The 18,254-nt window shown below is 46.2% G+C and overlaps 1 protein-coding gene across 5 annotated transcripts in view, besides 2 other annotated features; it reads left to right on the plus strand.

Moving 5' to 3' along the window:
- Positions 1-16,415, plus strand: part of MTA3 (metastasis associated 1 family member 3) — a 262,837-nt gene extending 246,422 nt beyond the window's left edge. For all 5 annotated transcript variants that reach the window (NM_001282755.2, NM_001282756.2, NM_001330442.2 and 2 more), the window contains one exon: positions 12,843-16,415. In NM_001282755.2, the coding sequence (NP_001269684.1) occupies positions 12,843-12,868 (26 nt within the window). In that variant the 3' untranslated portion in view covers positions 12,869-16,415. The remainder of the gene's footprint in view (positions 1-12,842) is intronic.
- Positions 15,513-16,083: an enhancer, noted in NCBI's record as "H3K4me1 hESC enhancer chr2:42983184-42983754 (GRCh37/hg19 assembly coordinates)". NCBI's record gives its function as "activates a minimal SCP1, AML or CMV promoter by ChIP-STARR-seq in naive H9 embryonic stem cells {active_cell/tissue: H9 hESC(naive)}" and the evidence as "EXISTENCE:reporter gene assay evidence [ECO:0000049][PMID:30033119]".
- Positions 16,084-16,655: an enhancer, noted in NCBI's record as "H3K4me1 hESC enhancer chr2:42983755-42984326 (GRCh37/hg19 assembly coordinates)". NCBI's record gives its function as "activates a minimal SCP1, AML or CMV promoter by ChIP-STARR-seq in naive H9 embryonic stem cells {active_cell/tissue: H9 hESC(naive)}" and the evidence as "EXISTENCE:reporter gene assay evidence [ECO:0000049][PMID:30033119]".

The following is an 18,254-nucleotide window of genomic DNA, read 5'->3' on the forward strand; positions in this document are numbered from 1 at the left end:
TGAATCCATTCATTCATCCATCCGTTCATCCATCCTAGAATGGATAATAGAAGTTGTGCTAGCGCACATGAAAACAGCATTCATCTCCTTGTACATCTCCGTCAGAGCTCTTGGGTGACCAAGTGCATTGTTAATGAGCAGTCATATTTTGATTTTTTTTCCTAAGCAGTAGGTCTCAACAGCAAGCTTAAGATATTCCGTAAACCATGCTGTAAACAGAGGTGCTATCATTTAGGCTTTGTTGTTCTATTTATAAAGCATAGGCAGAATAGATTAAGCATAATTCTTAAGGGCTGTGTGGCTTTTTGGAATAGTAAATGAACACTGGCTTCAACTTAAAAAGTCACCAGCTGCATTAGCCTCTAACAAGAGAGTCAGCCTGTCCTTTGAAGCTTTGAAGGCATTGGCTTCTCTCTAGCTATGAAAGTCCTAGATGGCATCTTCTTCCAGTATAAGGCTGTTTTGTCTACATTGAAAATCTGTTGTTTAGCGTAGCTGCCTTCATCAGTGATCTTAGCTAGATCTAGATAACTTGCTACAGCTTCTACATCAGCGCTTGCTGCTTTACTTGCACTTTTATGTTTATGGTGATGGCTTTTTTCCTTAAACCCCATGAATCAACCTCTACTAGCTTCAAACTTTTCTTCTCCAGCTTCCTCACCTCTCTCAGTCTTCATAGAATTGAAGAGAGTTAGGGCCCTGCTCTGGATTAGGCTTTGGGTTAAGGGAATGTTGTTGCTGGTTTGATCTTGTATTCAGGCCACTTTCTCCTTATCAGCAGTAAGATTGTTTCACTTTCGTATCATTCATATGTTCACTGGAGTGGCACTCTTAATTTCCTTCAAGAACTTTTCCAAGTTGCATTCACCACTTGGTTAACTGTTTGGTGCAAGAGGCCTGACTTGCAACCTCTCTTGGCTTTCAATACGCCTTCCTCATGAAGGCTCATCATTTCTGGCTTTTGATTTAAAGTGAGAGATACCCTTCTTTTCGCTTCAACACTTAAAAGCCATTGTAAGGTTATTAATTGGCCTAATTTTGATATTGTTGTGTCTCTGAGAATAGAGATGCTCAAGGAGAGGGGAAAAGACAGGGAAAGGACAGTCACTGGAGCAGTCAGAGGACACATAGCATTTTTTTTATTAATTTTTTTTTTCAGAGCTCCACTCAAGAAAGAACACACACATTTATCTATTAAGTTTCCCATCTTATATGGGCATGGCTTGTGGCCCAAAACAATTACAATAGTAACATCAAAGATCACCAATTACAGATCAACATAACAGATATAATAAAGAAAAAGCTTGAAGTATTGTAAGAATTACCAAAATGTGACGCAGAGACATTAGGTGAGCACGTGCTGCTGGAAAAATGGTGTCAATAGACTTGTTTAATGCAGAGTTGCCAACAAAGCTTCAATTTTTAAAAAAGCACAGTATCTGTAAAGCTCAACAGAGCAAAGCTTAATAAAACTACATATTCCTGCACATGGGAGATGTTCATATTTTCTTTGTATAGGAAATGGGTATATGTTTGCGAATGCATAGAGCAATATAGTGGGGTATTTTTCTTTGCTCAGACCATAAAGCCATCACTTTCTTTCTTTCTTTCTTTTTTTTTTTTTTGAGAAGCAGACTCGCCCTGTTGCCCAGGCTGAAGTGCAGTGGCATGATCTCAGCTCACTGCAACCTCTGCCTCCTGTGTTCAAGTAATTCTCCTGCCTTAGCTTCCAGAGTAGCTGGGATTACAGGCATCCGTCACCACACCCAGCTAATTTTTGTATTTTTAGTAGAGACAGCCTTTCACCATGTTGGCCAGGTGTGTCTCAAGTGCCTGACCTTAGGTGATCCGCCTGCCTCAGCCTCCCAAAGTGCTAGGTTTACAGGCGTGAGTCACTGAAGCCATCACTTTTTAATAAAACCCCTTCACCATCATTTTTTGCCTGTGTAAAGCTCATCTGCCGATATACCAAATATAAAAGTTGGGGTATAGGAACTATATTTTTCTGGAAGTTGGGGCATAGGAGCTATATTATTAGTGTTGGAGAGAGAAGGGAAAAAAAGGAAGAAGAGAAAATTCACAGAATCACCTAAAGATGAAATGTATTTAAATTGAATTATATCCTCTTCCCAGCATAGTCTCTGACTCATAGTAGGTATTTATCAAGTGTTAAGATTCTACCTCTGACTTAAAGAATAGCTTCTATTAAAGTTTTATTTGGAAAATTTCTAAGATATCAACCATTTTTATAGTCCTGAGAACTGTACATAAATAATATTTCAGTACCTTCCTTATAACTATATTTATTTCTTACCTAAAAATATGATTTTTAAAATATGACTTATGGATTTGCTTGAAGGTAGATGGTTATATTCCAATGGATGTTTGTACATTACAGGGCCCCTGTATCTATAAAGAGGAACTACCCTTGGATTAAGTTATTTTGAGGAGCATTGAAGGCAGGAATTTAGGTTTATAGGAAGGACTCACTTAGCTCCCTGTGGGCTCCTCTATCAGAGACCCTACAGTAGAGGAGATAGAACATCCTGACCTTGAGACAGTAGAATCTTATTCAGAGTGAAGTCTGAATCAGAAAGAATCCTGGAGAGAAGAAAGGCAGATGGGCTGTACAGGCCTCTCATCCTGTCCTGACCCTTAAGAAGATGCCCTTGGTTCTTTCCACAGTGACAACTACTTGAGCTTTGTTCAGTCTGCAGATCTTCCATTCCAATGAGCAGGGACAAGGCGATTGCCTGCTATCTCAGTCTTTATCAGAAGGGGGCCTTGAGAAAGACTTCTTGTGAAGTGATACAGACCATCGTTTGGAGGTGCTCTTAACCTTTTTCCAAAATGACATGGCTTTTTGTCTCAGGGGTACTGAAGCAGGACTCAGCATGTCAGCAACAGGCTCAGAAGAGAGATGAGTTTTCAGTGGGACAGAGTCAGGGCATCTGAGCCAGGGAAAGTGATGAATTGTACAATAAAGCCCTTTTGAATCTGCTCTCCTCTGGCTTATTTCCCCTAGGGCATGTGAGTACACTGTGGATCTGTTTATTTTTCTTATTTATTTTCTGCATTGAGTAATACAATTTTTGAGACTCCTATGAAGAGGGTATCTAATGTAGATGACTCTGTAAGTACAATATTATGATCTGGAGTGTGAAGATTGTCCTTCTGATGGCTTGAGTCTGAAATCAGTGATTCAACAGTTCTAACTGTTGGCATCCCAACCCTGGGAAATGGGTGGTGGTGAAAGCCATTGTACCAGTGAGTGAGCTCTGGGAATGCATCTGCTCTCTTCACGAATTCCAAAAAAAATAGACTGCCAGGGACAGCTGATGGCACTCCTAGGCATGCTTAGGCCCAGGCTGCCTTCTGTCAAAAACTCATGCCATTTCAAAAGACTGCAGTTTTAAAAAAAACTTTTAAAACATTGTCTCTGGAAGAACTTGAGTGTCCCTAGACTCACCTCTGCTCTCCTTGTCTCAAAGGGTAGTGTCATAACCTGGTTAAATATATTTTTAAAACCTTTGAGATTCAAAAAAATATTTTCTAAAGGACTATTATGCCCCCAGGGTTACTGAATGGGAAGCAATATAGCGGAGTACCTTATGTATTGAGAGGGTTTCAGGCCTATTGAAGCATTGTCTGAGGGCAGCAGATGGTCTCCACCTCTGAAGCCATGAAGAAGACAGATCCAATTGCATTCGGCATAAGTAGTCAACAACTTAGTGTTTTAGAATATTCTAGAAGGATGCCAAATTAGCCACCCCTGGGACCATTCCTGGGTTTACTAATATCACAGCTTCTCCCAGAGAGTACTTCTATCATGTCTCTGAGGGAAGCACTAGTGTGTGAGCCCCTCAGAGGCCTAGACTTGAGACCCTCTCAGCAGTATGGAGGTCCTAGAAGAGTGACAGCAGTCCATGGTTCACTGCCTCCTTAATAAGTGTCTCTGTTTACCTGCAGGTAAACGATCTTTTTAAATTAACCTGACCCTCTGTTCCCCTTTCCCCCATTCTCAGTGACCCATAGAAGGTGACCTCTGAGAAGGAAAGTGTAGCTCTGACTTGAGAGCTAGGTCTGAGAGCTAGGTCTCTCACATGTTTTGGGAGGAGGAGTAGAGGTTTGCAAAAGGAAAGGGAAGGAGACAGCAGAGGGAGCGGATTAGGTATCTAAGAAGAGGATTTGACTTAGAAGAGGTTTGACTCATCCATCAAAAGAGCAGTCATAACTGTCTGAAAAAGCCATTGGGATATCAGTACGGTAATATATCTTGACAGCCCAGGGAAGTAAAGAACAACCCCAGAAACCAATTGATTTAGGCATCCCCCTGAGCAATCTGTTCACGTCCTCATGAAGAAGTGAGGAGAAGCCTTCTGAATCTGCAGGGCCCCCAGGGCAATGGAAATGGAAGAATTTGTCACAGTCTAGTTGATTTGGAAACCTCCACTGGGTTCATTTGAAGCTTCTCAGCCCTGCTCACTGTTTATTTCACTGTTTTCTGTTTTCCCTTCCAAATGACTGAGCACTCTTTAAGCTCAGAAAACATCTGAGTTATAATCTATGCATTTTCCTCTATCAGCCAGATATTTATTTTTATCAGCAACTATTTACATATAAATGAACATGAAAAGTGATGACATATAAATGAATATGAAAAGTGATTAATGTGAAACCAAGGTGCAGACTTGAAGTTAACTTTGTTAGATGGAGATTCCCAAAGAAGAGACCTAAGAAGACCCTTTCCGTAATGTTCTGATTCCAGCTTAACTGATTGAGCCCCTCTAGGACAGCCAGTGAGCAAGACCAAGAGTAAGTGTTTGGGAAAATAGGGCTGACCACATTTAAGTATCTGGGACTGAACATTCAGCAGGAAAAAATGAGTAGGATATTGTTTGGACCTCCTGGACTGGCCCTCTGATTTTCTTATTGTTTCTCTATAGCTTATCATCTCTGTCTTTTTATTCTACTTTCTGGGAGACTTTCTCAACCTTTTTAAAAAATAGTTTTTAAAATTTATTTTTACAGAGATGGGGGCAGGGGGTCTTGCTATGTTGCTCAAGCTGGTCTCGATTTCCCAGCCTTAAGCCATTCTCCTGCCTTGGCCTCCCAAAGTACTGGGATTACAGATATGAGCCACTGCACCCAGCTGAGACTTTCTCAACTTTATATGCCAACCAGATGTATCTGTTTCTCCCTTTAGTTTGTCAACTTTGCTTCATATATTAAAAAATTCTGTTATTGGGTATATTTGTATTTAGGATTTTTATGTCCTTTTGAAATAGTCCTCTTTTTTTTGAGACAGAGTCTCGCTCTGTCACCAGATGGGAATGCAGTGGCTCAATCTTAGCTCGCTGCAACCTCTGACTCCCTGGTTCAAGCGATTCTCCTGCCTTAGCTTCCTGAGTAGCTGGGATTACAGCCATGCGCCACCACGCCCAGCTAATTTTTGTATTTTTAGTAGAGACGGGGTTTCACCATGTTAGCCAGGATGGTCTCGATCTCCTGACATTGTGATCCACCCGCCTTGGCCTCCTAAAGTGCTGGGATTACAGGCGTGAGCCACTGCGCCCTGCCAAAATGGTCCTCTTTATCTCTGTTAATACTCCTTGTCTTGAAATCTTTGTCTGATTTTAATACGGTGACACCAGTTTTCTTTATTTTTCCCTGGTTTTTAGGATTTTTAACAAACTTTTTTTCTGGTTTTATTAAACTTGAAATAGAATGATTCTTACAGCATCTGTAAAGCCAGCAGATGTTGTTCGAGCACAGATTTTAAAAGCCCTATTAAGGGGAAAAAACACACTCAGAGCAGTTGCTTATTTTTCTGTTCTCTCACTGAACAACAATCGACACAGAAGACTTCTGTGACCAAATGTGTGGGGACTTTTCCCCACACACCAAGCAAGCAATCAGTTTTGCAGCAGACATAAGCTGAGTATCCTCCAATTCAATTCTGACCATGTCTACCTGGAGAGTGTCAGAACCTATAGATTGAGGGCTCTCCCAGTCCCACAAGACTGCCACCCGACTTCCAGTGGCATTCACAAGCCCCAGGCTGTTTTTCCTGTGATTCTGACCTGCTGGCTATAAATCAGGAATTCCACAACCCCCTCCTTGGGTTCAATTAATATGCTAGAGTAGATCCTAGAATAGGAGAAACATGTTTACCTGTCTATTATGAAGGATATTATGCCAAATACAGATGCAGAGATGCATAGGGCGAGGCATGTGAGAAGGGGTATGCACCTTCCATGCCCTCCCTGGGCACACCACCCTCCAGGAACCTTACACGTTCAGCTCTCCAGAAGCTCTCCAAACTCTGCCCGCTTGGGCCTTTTATGGAGACTTAATTGGGTAGGCGTGATTAACAACCATGTAGAAATGTGATTGGACAAAAAGGGTATGATCTAATATGAATAGACTGAGGGGGGAAACCCAGCAAGTCTTGTCTGTTCAGGTTCTAATTTTGTTTTTTTTTTTTTGAGATGGAGTCTCACTCTGTCACCCAGGCTGGAGTGCGGTGGTGTGATCTCAGCTGACTGCAACCTCTGTCTCCCGGGTTCGAGCGATTCTCCTGTCAGCCTCCCGAGTAGCTGGGACCACAGTCACATGCCACCATTCCCAGCTAATTTTTGTATTTTTAGTAGAGACGGGGTCTCGCCATGTTGGCCAGGCTGGTCTTGAACTCCTGACCTCAGGTTATCCGCCCACCTCAGCCCCCGAAAGTGCTGGGATTACAGGTGTGAGCCACTGCGCCTGGCCCCCTGTTCAGATTCTTCTTGACCTCTCTGTGCAGCATTCATTCCTCCTGGGGGCAGGATCCTTTCTGAAATGAGGGTCTTTTGGCCAACATAAGACAAGGTAGGTCAGAGCTCCAAGACAGAAAGGCACCGGGGTGGGGGTGCAGAATACTAGCATATGTTTTTGGTTTCTAAGGTCTGCCTTGGGGAGAAAGAGGAGCAGGTGAAAGGGGGGCAGGAGAAGGTCAAGGAGAGAGACTCTGTTTTCTGAGGCCTGCTCTTGAAGCTTTAAGGTGCCCCAACAGTATAACAAGCGCAATGGAAGTTCCTGGCTGATAACGCCCATAGTGCTTGTTACACTGTTGGGGCACTTAAAGCCTCAAGAGCAGGCCTCAGAAAACAGAATCTCTCTCTTTGACCAATATAACCAGTTATTATGTAACTCCCACAGAGCTTGTTTATATCACACCTATAAAGACATTTTTCATTACTATTTTTAATAGCTTTATTAAGATATCATTGTCATTTGGTAAACTATATATTATTAAAATATACAATTTAATAAGTTTTGAAATATGTACACCAGGAAACCATCACCACAATCAAAATAATAAACTTAATCATCACCCCCAACAGTTTTCTTGCACCCCATTATAATCCTCCCACCTGCCCTCCCCATCTCCCCCACCTCACCCCCAGGTGACCACTGATTTGTTTTTTGCCACTATAGATTCATTTATATTTTCTAGAATTAGTTTTTTGTTTTTTTTGAAAGGGAGTCTCCCTCTGTCGCCAGGTGGGAGTGCAGTGGCGCGATCTCAGCTCTCTGCAACCTCTGCCTCCTGGGTTCAAGCGATTCCCCTGCCTCAGCCTCCTGAGTAGCTGGGACTACAGGCATGTGCCATCACATCCAGCTAATGTGTTTGTGTGTGTGTGTGTGTGTGTGTGTGTGTGTGTGTGTGTGTTTTAGTAGAGACGGGGTTTCACCGTGTTGGCCAGGATGGTTTCCATCTCCTGACCTCATGATCCGCCTGCCTCAGCCTCCCAAAGTGTTGGGATTACAGGCGTGAGCCACTGTGCCCGGCCTATTTTCTAGAATTATATATAAATGGAGTCATACAGTGTGTACTCTATTTGTCATTTTGGATGATTTTTAGAGTTCTATCATCAAGTTCGCTGATTATTTCTTCTACAGTATCAAATCTACTATTAGTCCCATCCAACACATTTTTCATTTTAGATTTTGTATTTTTCAGTTTTCAGATTTCCAATTAGTTATACTTCTAAAATTGCCCACCTTGTCACCCATTATATTCGTCTTTTTCTATAGATTCTTTAGCGTATTTATAGTAAATATTTTAAGTCCATACCTGCTAATTCTAACATCTGAATTATCCATTAATCTAGGGACTGTTTTTTCTTTTGATTACGGGTTGCATTTTCTTGTTTCTCACTGCGCCCAGCCAGTCCAATCATATTTAAATGCATACTGGGTCAGTGTGAATGATGAGTTATAAAGACTCAGGATTCTGTTATTTTCCTTTGCAGAGTGGTAAGTTTTGTTCTAGCAAGGAGTTACATTGGTGGATCACTTCGATTCTGTGGAGGCTTGGTTTGAAGCTTTATTAAGCCTCACATATTTCAATTTTGCCCTTAGTCCGATGGGATTTCAATGGAAAGACCAAGTTGTTTACCAGGCCCCTTTAACTTCACAGAACTTGAACTCCAAATTCTGTCTTCTCAGCACTGGACAGCTCTTGAAGTCACTGCTCGGCTCCTTGAGCCTTCTAGCTGATGTTTTCCATCGGGCTCCTGGGAATCTCACCCTGTACTTGCATAGTTCAGAAATAAGCAAGTAATGTGAGGGGAGTTTGTATGTAGATTTGAGGGCTCCCCCTTCTGTGTCTCCTTCCTCTGCAGGATCTCCTCCCTCAGTTTCCAGCTGCATTGGCTGCCTCAAGCTCTGACCTCTGGTTCCTCAGCCTAGTAGACTGTAGCTTTCTGCCTGAGCTATATTCATCTCATACTGCATGAATGTGCTCATGGGGAAAGACACTTAAGAGTGGCTCTCACTTTGTCTCACTTTTTCTTACTTTGTCTCTCTTTTTTCTAGGTTCATAACCCCTCCAATTTTTACCTGATTTTGGTTGCTCTCTAGTACTTTCAAACAGTTGTTCTTTTTTAAAAAAATTATTTTATTGTATTTTTGAGACAGAGTCTTGCTCTGTCACCCGTGCTGGAGTGCAGTGGCATGATCTCGGCTCACTGCAACCTCCGCCTCCTGGGTTCAAGCAGTTCTCCTGCCTCAGCCTCCCAAGTAGCTGGAATTTCGGGTGGCCACCACCATGCCTGGCTAATTTTTGTAGTTTTAGGAGAGACAGGGTTTTGTCGTGTTGGCCAGGCTGGTCTTGAACTCCTGACCTCAAGTGATCCTCCCACCTCAGCCTCCCAAAGTGCTGGGATTACAGGCGTGAGTCACCACACCTGGCCTCAAACAGTTGTTCTTTATATTTCGTCCAGAGTTTATCACTGTTACTGGCTGGAGGGTTAGTCAAATTAGCCTACCACGATAGGAAGCAGAGCTCCTCAGTCCTTCTATGTGCTTCCCCTCCTGTTTCTCTCAGTTAAGAAAAAACAACATACTATGTATGTTTCATAGATACTGTATTTTTTCTTCCCTGAGGATATTAATGATAGTGGCTTTTTATTTTTATTTTATTTATTTATTTTTTTGAGACGGAGTCTCACTCTGTCGCCAGGCTGGAGTGCAGTGGCACAATCTCGGCTCACTGCAACCTCCGCCTCCTGGGTTCAAGCGATTCTCCTGCCTCAGCCTCCTGAGTAGCTGGGATACAGGTGCGCCCCATAACACCTGGCTAATTTTTGTATTTTTAGTAGAGACGGGGTTTCACTCTGTTGGCCAGGCTGGTCTTGATCTCTTGAACTTGTGATCCACCTGCCTTTGCCTCCCAAAGTGCTGGAATTACAGGTGTGAGCCACCACGCCTGGCCATGTTTTTTGTTGTTTAAGTATTCTTCTCTGTTTCTTCTCTCTGTTTCTTCCAATTTGTACTCTTCTGTTGATTATGTGTTATTTGGTCTCTAACACCTGCTGTTAGAGGGTCTTTGTTTTTTTTTTCCCTGGTGACCTTTGTTGTCAAACAATGTTTAAAAGTAGGAGACTAAAAATCAGAGTGAAAGCTCTGTGCTTGTTCTTGGCAGAACCTGTAGTGCAGTTCACTGTAGGGTGATCAGGTTGGCCTGGTGTTTGGACGATAAATGCCAGTTTCTTTCGATATTTTCTCATGGGCTTGTCAGATTCCCCAGAGAAGTTTCTTCCTATCTGTTCCCCAGAGGATAAATGTTTGTTACCTGCATTCTGAGAGCTTCATGGGAAGAAGGCTGGGGGCTCACCATTCAGTAGACATAGGTTCACTTGATCTCTCTCTGTTATAATTGTAGCCTTGTCCTTAGCTGTGCATGGTGCCTCGTGTCCCCTAGGCCTGAAACGGTTTTGTCCTCGTCAGAGAATAAATATCTCGACTGGTGGGACGTAGACAGTTGCCTGGTGGTATGGAGTTGGGAGAGCTTCTTGGGATCCAGCTGCTTCTCAAAGAGCCTTTAACTCCTCTTCCTTGCTTCAGTCCCCTCCCCTACTTCCAGAGGTACCTGGTGTCATTTCATGAGCCTTTGGGGTTCTCTAGACAAATTGGGTACTCAGCTTTCCACACTGAACCTTCAAGTCTGTCTGTCTTGAGTGCATAGTCTGTTATCACTCATTTATCTGCTTTCCAGCTTCTAAAATTCTGTGGTTTCTTCTCTGATTTTCAGAAGGAAAGGAAACTAACTCAGAAGCCACCAGCTAGCTGGCTGGATTGCTTTCATTGGATTGGTTGATTTAAGTGCAGAATCTCCAAGTCCATGGACTTCAAGTACTTCTGAGTAGTCAAACCATTAGGGAAAATTTTGCAAAAAACAAACAAACAAAAAAATAAGTGCCTGTCAGTCAGGGCGAGTACGTACCAAAGTGGCAAATATAGGTTAATACATTTGAGAATAAATAAACAAAAAGAGAAATGATTTGGGCTACATCATGGTCTAGGAAGGAGACTGAGAATTGATGTAGACATTTTCCTGGGGCTCTCTGCCTGTGCTACTGTGCTGAGTCTCTGTATCTGGCTCTTGTTCCTGCTCCAAGGAAATGCAGAGGATCTGGGGAAGCTCTGAGCAGAGGAGAGTGAAGTGATAACCTTGTAAGGGCAGGTGGTAAGTACTGGGATTCTTCAGCCCAGAATACAGAGAGGTGGCCTGTCTCAATTGAAAACCGTGGCCAGGGTGGAGAAGGCAGAGTGGAGCCTGGGCACCAGAACCTGAGATGCTAGGAGGAGAGGGTTGTTTCTGAAACCGCAGCAGGCAAGTTTGGCACAAATAAAAGCACAATTTACCATGGCAGGCTAGAAACTTGGGAAACTATTAAAAGCAGCTCTTTTGATAGGTGGTTTAATTCCATAAGGGTTTAGACAGATGAATGACAGAGCTCCTGCTCCACTAAATACAAAAAGAGAGAGTGGCTCCTAGGAGACGCTGACACTTACATAACCTTCCATTTAGACACTGAGGAGGTCAGGATGCTCTTACTGGGCTGTTAGCAGAACACTGGGCTGGATGGAGAATGAGCAGCTTGGTGTAGTAGGAAAAACTTGACACAAATTAAGGTCTACATTCAAATCTTGACTCCTCAGCTTACTTACTGTGACCTTGAGCAAGTTCTTAACCTTTCTGACACTCCCAAGATTCTGCTGAAGGTTAAATAAGGTAGTTACATAACCTACAGTATGTTCAATAAAGCAAGGTTAGCATGATTCCTAAACTGAATTTATCTGGGCCTTTATTTAACACATACTTGCTGAGCTCATATCAAATACCAAGCTGGGTACAGGTATCTTCCCTATCCTAGAAAAGCTCATGAAGTGAAGACACAGCTCTGCTCCATCCTGCAGCCCTTCCTTGGCATGCTCTGAGGCTGTGAAGGTGAGCATTGCTGGGTCCTTTCCTGGCAGCAGGGTGATGTGCCTGGGGCAGAGAATATCTGAGCATCTTATCCCTTCTCAGCAAACAACCCCACTTCCCTCCTAGCCACTTTCCTAATAACTAAGTAAAAAGCTTTCACAACTTTCTAATACAACACGGTGGTGATGTGGTTTGCAGGCCACTTCTGCTTTTTCATTTACTTGTCTCTGCTGTAGTCTCCAGATGGTCAGAGTTGAAGGTTTTTGGGGAAGTGGAGGGGGTGGGAGTGAGGGGCATAGGAATAGTTCCTGACACTGTGGGAGAGTGAAGTTCACTCCCCTCCTACAAGAAATGTGTTCATAGCCTCTGGGTGCCCACATCATTATGATTAATTATGATGAGCTCAGATGAGATCGTGCCTCCTCCCAGCCAACTGTGTTCCCTATTCCTTAGTATCCGTCAGAAAAGTTCCATGAGTCTCTTCTCTTGCCTGGTGTACTGTAGCACCTCTCCAGTGACCACTAAACCCGCCTATTCAAAACCCAGCTTTTAAGATCTTTCCGTCCTTCAGTATCAATTATATATTTTATTGGCCCTAATTAAACTTTCCCTTTGATCCAGTGTTAAACTACATTGTGAGCCCTTTTTTTTTTTTTCAGACAGGGTCTTGCTCTGTCGCCTGGGCTGGAGTGCCGTGGTGCGACCACAGCTCACTGCAGCCTTGGCTTTGTGAGCTCAAGCAGTCCTCCCCCCTCAGCCTCCTGAAGTAGCTGGGACTACAGGCATGCACCACCACACCTGGCTAACTTTTTATTTTTATTTTGGTAGAGACAGAGTGATGCTATGTCGTCCAGACTGTCTTGAACTTCTGGCCTCAAGCCATCCACCGGCCTTGGCCTCTCAAAGTGCTGGGATTATGGGCATGAGCCACCACACCTGGCCTAGTCATGAGATTTTCTTTGACCTACTGCTGAGCCTCCTTTCCCTGAAGGTTGTGATGTTGGGAGGGGTGAGTCCATCCTCCCTTTCATCTTGCCTCCACCATCGGGACTTGTTTAACCTTCACACTGTTACTTCCCTTTTCTAGAACTCACGTGCTGTGTGTCAGACTGAGCTTTCCCTGATTCATTCTACAATCCAAGACTTGCTGCACTGTCCTGCTGATGTTCACAGCCGTGCCTGGGAAGAAGGCAGCCCCACTCCCAGTACATTTCAGTGGGAGACCTCTGCGTGCATCCATGGAGACGCAATGGGGCGGGGAAGGAACTGTGGGAGTGCACGTTCCAAATCCTGTGTCTCCACGTGTGGATCAGCAGCACCTCGCTTTCTTGTCAGAGACCTCGCTGTTACGGAGCGAGACCTGCTGAGAATTGAGGGGCTGAGGGAACCCCTCCACCTCCTCCCTTCTGCAGCGCCCTGCGCCCCACCCAGCAACAGCGGCCACTTGGCAGTGGGGCTGCTGCAAGCTCAGAGCCGCTGCCACCCTGCATGTGTCCGCTCAGCTCGGTCTTATGCTGTATAGTTACTAAATATGTACAGGAGGGCCATGGCATCTTTCTGAATGGATTTTTCTTAAGAAATGCGCCAGTGTTTATGAGGTTCAAGGTATTTCCCTGTCCTTGCTGTTACCGTCACTCAGCTTTTTCTCGATAGGCTTCATCCTTGTTTTTTTGAAATGGGGGAATTTGCTGTTTACCCTCTGCATTCCTATATGTGACCCTCCCTCCTACTCCTCCAAGGAACAGAATTACCGAGGTTCTGACAAAAGATAAGCCTGTAAACTCATCATCTGTGTTTTGTGGTTGGAGAGAAACTGGTGTTCTGCCCGGCTCTGCTTGGTCACAGACAGCTCCAGCAAGAGCAGTTGTTAAAAGTGCCAAGCGTGTGTATCACTGTGACAAGCCGTTTGCTTACTGCCCTGTTCCCTTGCAGCCAAACCAGCTGATGAAGAACTGCTGCCAGGTGGGTCCTACAGCAGGTCACAAATGACCTAGTTTCATTTTAAGCAGACAGACTCTGTTTGGCCTAGAGGTGTGGAGTGAGAGAACTGTGTTTGTGGGTATGAGTCTGTGTGGCCAACCCCATGACCCCCACCCCTCCAGCCCAACATCTTGTGAGCACATGTGACCTAGGCCCCGGGGGACCTGCCTGCTCCTTTGGCTTGGGCTCTTCGTGTTTCCCACCTGCCCTCGGCACGAGCCCTTGGTGGCATCACAGTTGGCCACTCAGCTGTGCTGAGTAGCTGTGCTACTTGTGCTGGCAGCTGCAAGGATAGGAATAGCTCAGCGCCCGATGAGCTCCCTGAGCAGATGTGAGGCTGGCAACTCCCCTGCCCTCTGTTTGCAGGCACAGGGTCACAGTCCCAAGAAAGACAACTGGAGTCTGATCTCCCAGCCATCTCTGGGGTTACTAGGAGGCAGCTGGATGGCAGATACGAGAGGCCCAAATAGCCAAGCTGTTGCAAGACAGAGTGGCTACAATTGAATTGACACCCTGGGAAGCACGAGGTAACTTGGTAAGGATAATGATGCTGTAGATGTCTGTGTCCTCGGAGGCTGAGCTCCGCTTGGCAGAGAGAGCGTGCTGTGTGAGGTGGAGGGCGGTTTTGCAGACATCTCAGCTTCTTTTCTGAGGAGGAGTTGGTTCTCATCTTAGGCTTCTGCAAGGGCGAGCATGGGATGTCTCCACCACCACCCACTCTTGGAGCTGTGCTGGGTCTTGGCTTGGGGCGCTGAGGGTGGGGCCTGTGTCAGAAGCATTTGGTGAGAGGGGTGGAGGTGGCAGGCAGGGGTTCTCCTCAGGGTTCCCACTGAGGGGTCCCTTCAGCAAAGACCTGGGAGGAGGTGCCGCATCACGTGGATGTTTCTTCCCTAAAGAAAAAGACACAGGAAAGCTGTCTGTCTGTACCCTGCTCTGGATTTATTGTCGTACTTGGACCCAGAAGGGGAAATGATTCCCTCACCCTTTCACTTTCTCTCTGAACCCCTACTAAGTGGTGACTGCAGATTCTGGAAACAATTAGCTGCCCGTGACTCAGCTGCCAGCTTCATTTTCTCTGCCTTTTGGGAGAGGCCCTCTCACCCAGGCCCAAGAGATTTGGAGACAGGAGTCAGGCCAGGTCTGAAGCAGGAGAAGGGAGGCCCCTCCTATCTACCCAGTTGACATTTGGCTTTGGGAAAAGCGCAGCTTGTTCGAGCCACGTGTGCCAAGCAGGCTTTTCCTTCCTCTTGTAAGTAAAGCTCGTGGTTCTGTAGTCCAGTCATCCTAGGAGGGTGATGTTGACTGAGACTTCACGCTCTCCCTTTGTCTCTGGAAACTGCCCCCTCGTTCTGACAGAATCCCCCAGGCAATGGAGGAAGGGTGCCGAGGCGCCTCTAGTCTGTGCCTTTGCCGTTGGAAGCATTTGGTGCTGAGAGGGTTTCCCAGCCACCCGCTCCCTTTCTGGGGCCATGGTGTCCCTGCTGTGTGTCAGTGGCATGTCACTGTGGTTCAGTGAGCACATGGGTGGACGTGCAGAGACTGTCTGCGCAGCCCCCAGCAGACATGCCCCTGGGGTGAGGACACAGGCTCTGCAGGCTATCTCCCCCTCTGGCTCAGTCATCGCCTGCCCACCCTTCACTTCTTAAAGGTGCGCAAGAGAGGAGGGCCGACTGGAGGGTGTCGCCGGAAGGTTTCAGCCTGCCCTTCACAATTCCCCTTGTGCACAGCCCAGTTTCCATCTCTCAGGGCCCACCCAGGAAAATGGATTTCAAGTGGGGGTTTTCATCCAGAGATTTGTTTAACACAAAACAAGAAAAGCTGAGAGGCAAAACAGGGGAGTGAGGGGCAACCCAGAGGTGGGGAACAACAACAGCAAGCCGCCCCCATCCTGAGACTGGCTGGGCACCAGGGGAGGACGCGTCACCAGAGCCTGGGGCCAAGGCCACTGGGGGACCTGCCACACTGTGGACCTGTCTGGTGGGGGCTGGAGCCTCGAGAAGCCATGATTCTTGTCAGAAACATTTCCCCAGGCAGAGAGAGGGGGCCCCAGCCTCTCCCCTCCTCTTGGCCTCCAGAGTCCTGCAGGTGCCTCACAGTAGTGAAACCCAGTTGGAAGCAGCTGCCCTGGGAGCCTGGGACAGGCGACCCACCGGGTCAGTCCCCTGCCACTCAGAGCAGAGCAGGGGGCTGAGGGCAAGCAGGTGGGGCTGTGCGTGGCCTCAGTGCACTCGGTGTCATGTCTGAGCCTGGTGTTTATGCCCCACTGCTGTCCTAAGTCCCTGGCGAGGGGAGGTGGAGGAGCTGCCCCGTGGGTGTTTGGAGATTCTGTTTTACTCTGCCTAGAGAGGAAACGGCTTTGGGGAGGGAGGGGGAAGCCTTTATTCTTTACTGTTGTCCCTGTTTTCCTTTGGGGGAATTTACTCAGTTAGCAGCCCCTCCTCACCATTCCCCCCAGGAAGGCCATGTCCCAGTTTTCTGTCCACCCCTCCTGTTCCTCTGCACTATGTCTCTGATTTTCCCTGCCAGGGAAGCTAACCCAGAGCACGCACCTGTGCTCATGAGTGTTTCCGCAGGATAATTCGTTCTGAGCATGATACCACAGTGTGGATTGTCTGTCTGTAAGGAGATGCCATCTACTAACCAATTTGTATTGTGTTTCCAATAAATTCCTGGAAATTTTGCCTGGTTTTATGCTGTTCTTTACTAGGATGATGGCTCAGGTGTAAGACTGTGCACGCACCCCTAGGCCCAGCCTCAGGTGGTCCTTGTTTCAGAACCTTGAGCTCCGAGGGCCCCGGGGAGGTAATAGGCCAGGCCAGTTGGTCTGCTGTGCCCCAGCTGCACTGAGACTCTCAGAGGCCTTTCCCCAGGGTCTGCATCTTCTTCTGCTGTCTCATAAGCCACATCCTGGGGACATGGAAGTTTCACGAGGCGAGGTCACCCCAGTAGGAGGCCTTTGACCCTGTGCCCCCAGGCCTGGAGGTATGAGGTGTAATAGGCAGCCTTTTTCCCGTGAACTACCCTGCAGTGTGACTTGTGCCCTGCTGTGGCCAGTGCTGGGTTGTGGGGATGGGTGCTGGGGTATTCAGGTGGTGCACTGAGGAAGGCTGCTGTGCCCCAACATGGGGTTTGCTGTTTGGCTGGCTGTTTGTGTGGACTCTGTCTCAGCTGCTGTGCCAAGGTCATTATAGGGGAAAGTGAAGCTTGGCTCCCTTGGGACCCCTCCAGCCTGTGTTTGTGAAGTACACATGTTTGTGACTCTTGTTTGCTGGGCTTTCTGAAAGATTTTCTTAAAAGGAGTCACTAAGCTTATTTTTTTCTTTTCCTTTTTCTCAGACATGGTCTTGCTCTGTCACCCAGACTGGAGTGCAATGGCGCGATCTCGACTCACTGCAACCTCCACCTTCTGGGTTTAAGCGATTCTCGTGTCTCAGCCTCCCAAGTAGCTGGGGCTATAGGCGCACGCCACCATGCCCGGCTAATTTTTGTATTTTTAGTGGAGACGGGGTTTCACCATGTTGGCCAGGCTGGTCTCGAACTCCTGACCTCAGGTGATTTGCCCTCCTTGGCCTCCCAAAGTGCTGGGATTACAGGCATGAGCCACTGCACCCAGCCTTCTTAGTGTTTTTATTGTTTGTTTTTTTGTTTTTTGTTTTAAATTAAGGCTTTTAATGCGAACTCAAATATCACCTCCCTCTTTCTGGAAGCTCCTCTGTAGCTTAGAGTGTTGCATGCCATACCTCTCAAGGGGGCCGACCTTAAGCTCCATACCAGGACTGGGTTTTTATCATCGGACTTCCTAGGAGGTTTCTTCTGCCCCTCCCTGGGTAGGTTTTACCCTCTGTTTATTCTGATTCTGCTCCTGGGTGCAGAGATTGCTGGAGGAACCACACCACCTACTCACGACCCCACAGCTTAACTCATCAGGGTGCTTAACTCACCAGGCCCCTTTGAGCCACTTGCTTAGTGACCCTTTTCTATGTTCTTCTTTGGGAGCTTGATTTTCTTATTTCCAGAACCAGCTGTTCCAATCCTTTGCCACTTTTTAAGTCCTTATCCCCTGAGAGCTGCGGCTTCTAAGAATCCCTTCAGCTTTATTCCCCTTGTCCCAAGACCTACTGAAATAGTGCCATTGCTCCAGCTCAAAGAGGCATCCTTCTATCTTCTGGGGACAGACCCTCCTGCCACCCATGAGCTGCATTCATCCTTCCACTCCCTTAGGGCCTTGCAATAGTGTCTTGACTCAGGCCAGACTGCCACTTACTAGCTGGATGACCTTGGGCAAATTATTCAACCTCTGTGTGCCTCAGTGTTTCCATCTGTAAAATGGGATAATAATGGAATCTCCCTCATCAGGACTAAAAAAATTAATATGTGTAAAATGCTTAGAATAAGGTCTGGTACATTCCAGTCCCCATCATCATTCCCCTCCTCCCCAGTATTTTTCTTTTCTCCCTTCTCCTCCTGTATTTAAAAATCTCTTCATCTAATCCACCAAATAACAGAACAGTCAAACCAC

This window comes from Homo sapiens, chromosome 2, assembly GCF_000001405.40.
Source record: "Homo sapiens chromosome 2, GRCh38.p14 Primary Assembly".
Lineage (NCBI taxonomy): Eukaryota > Metazoa > Chordata > Mammalia > Primates > Hominidae > Homo > Homo sapiens.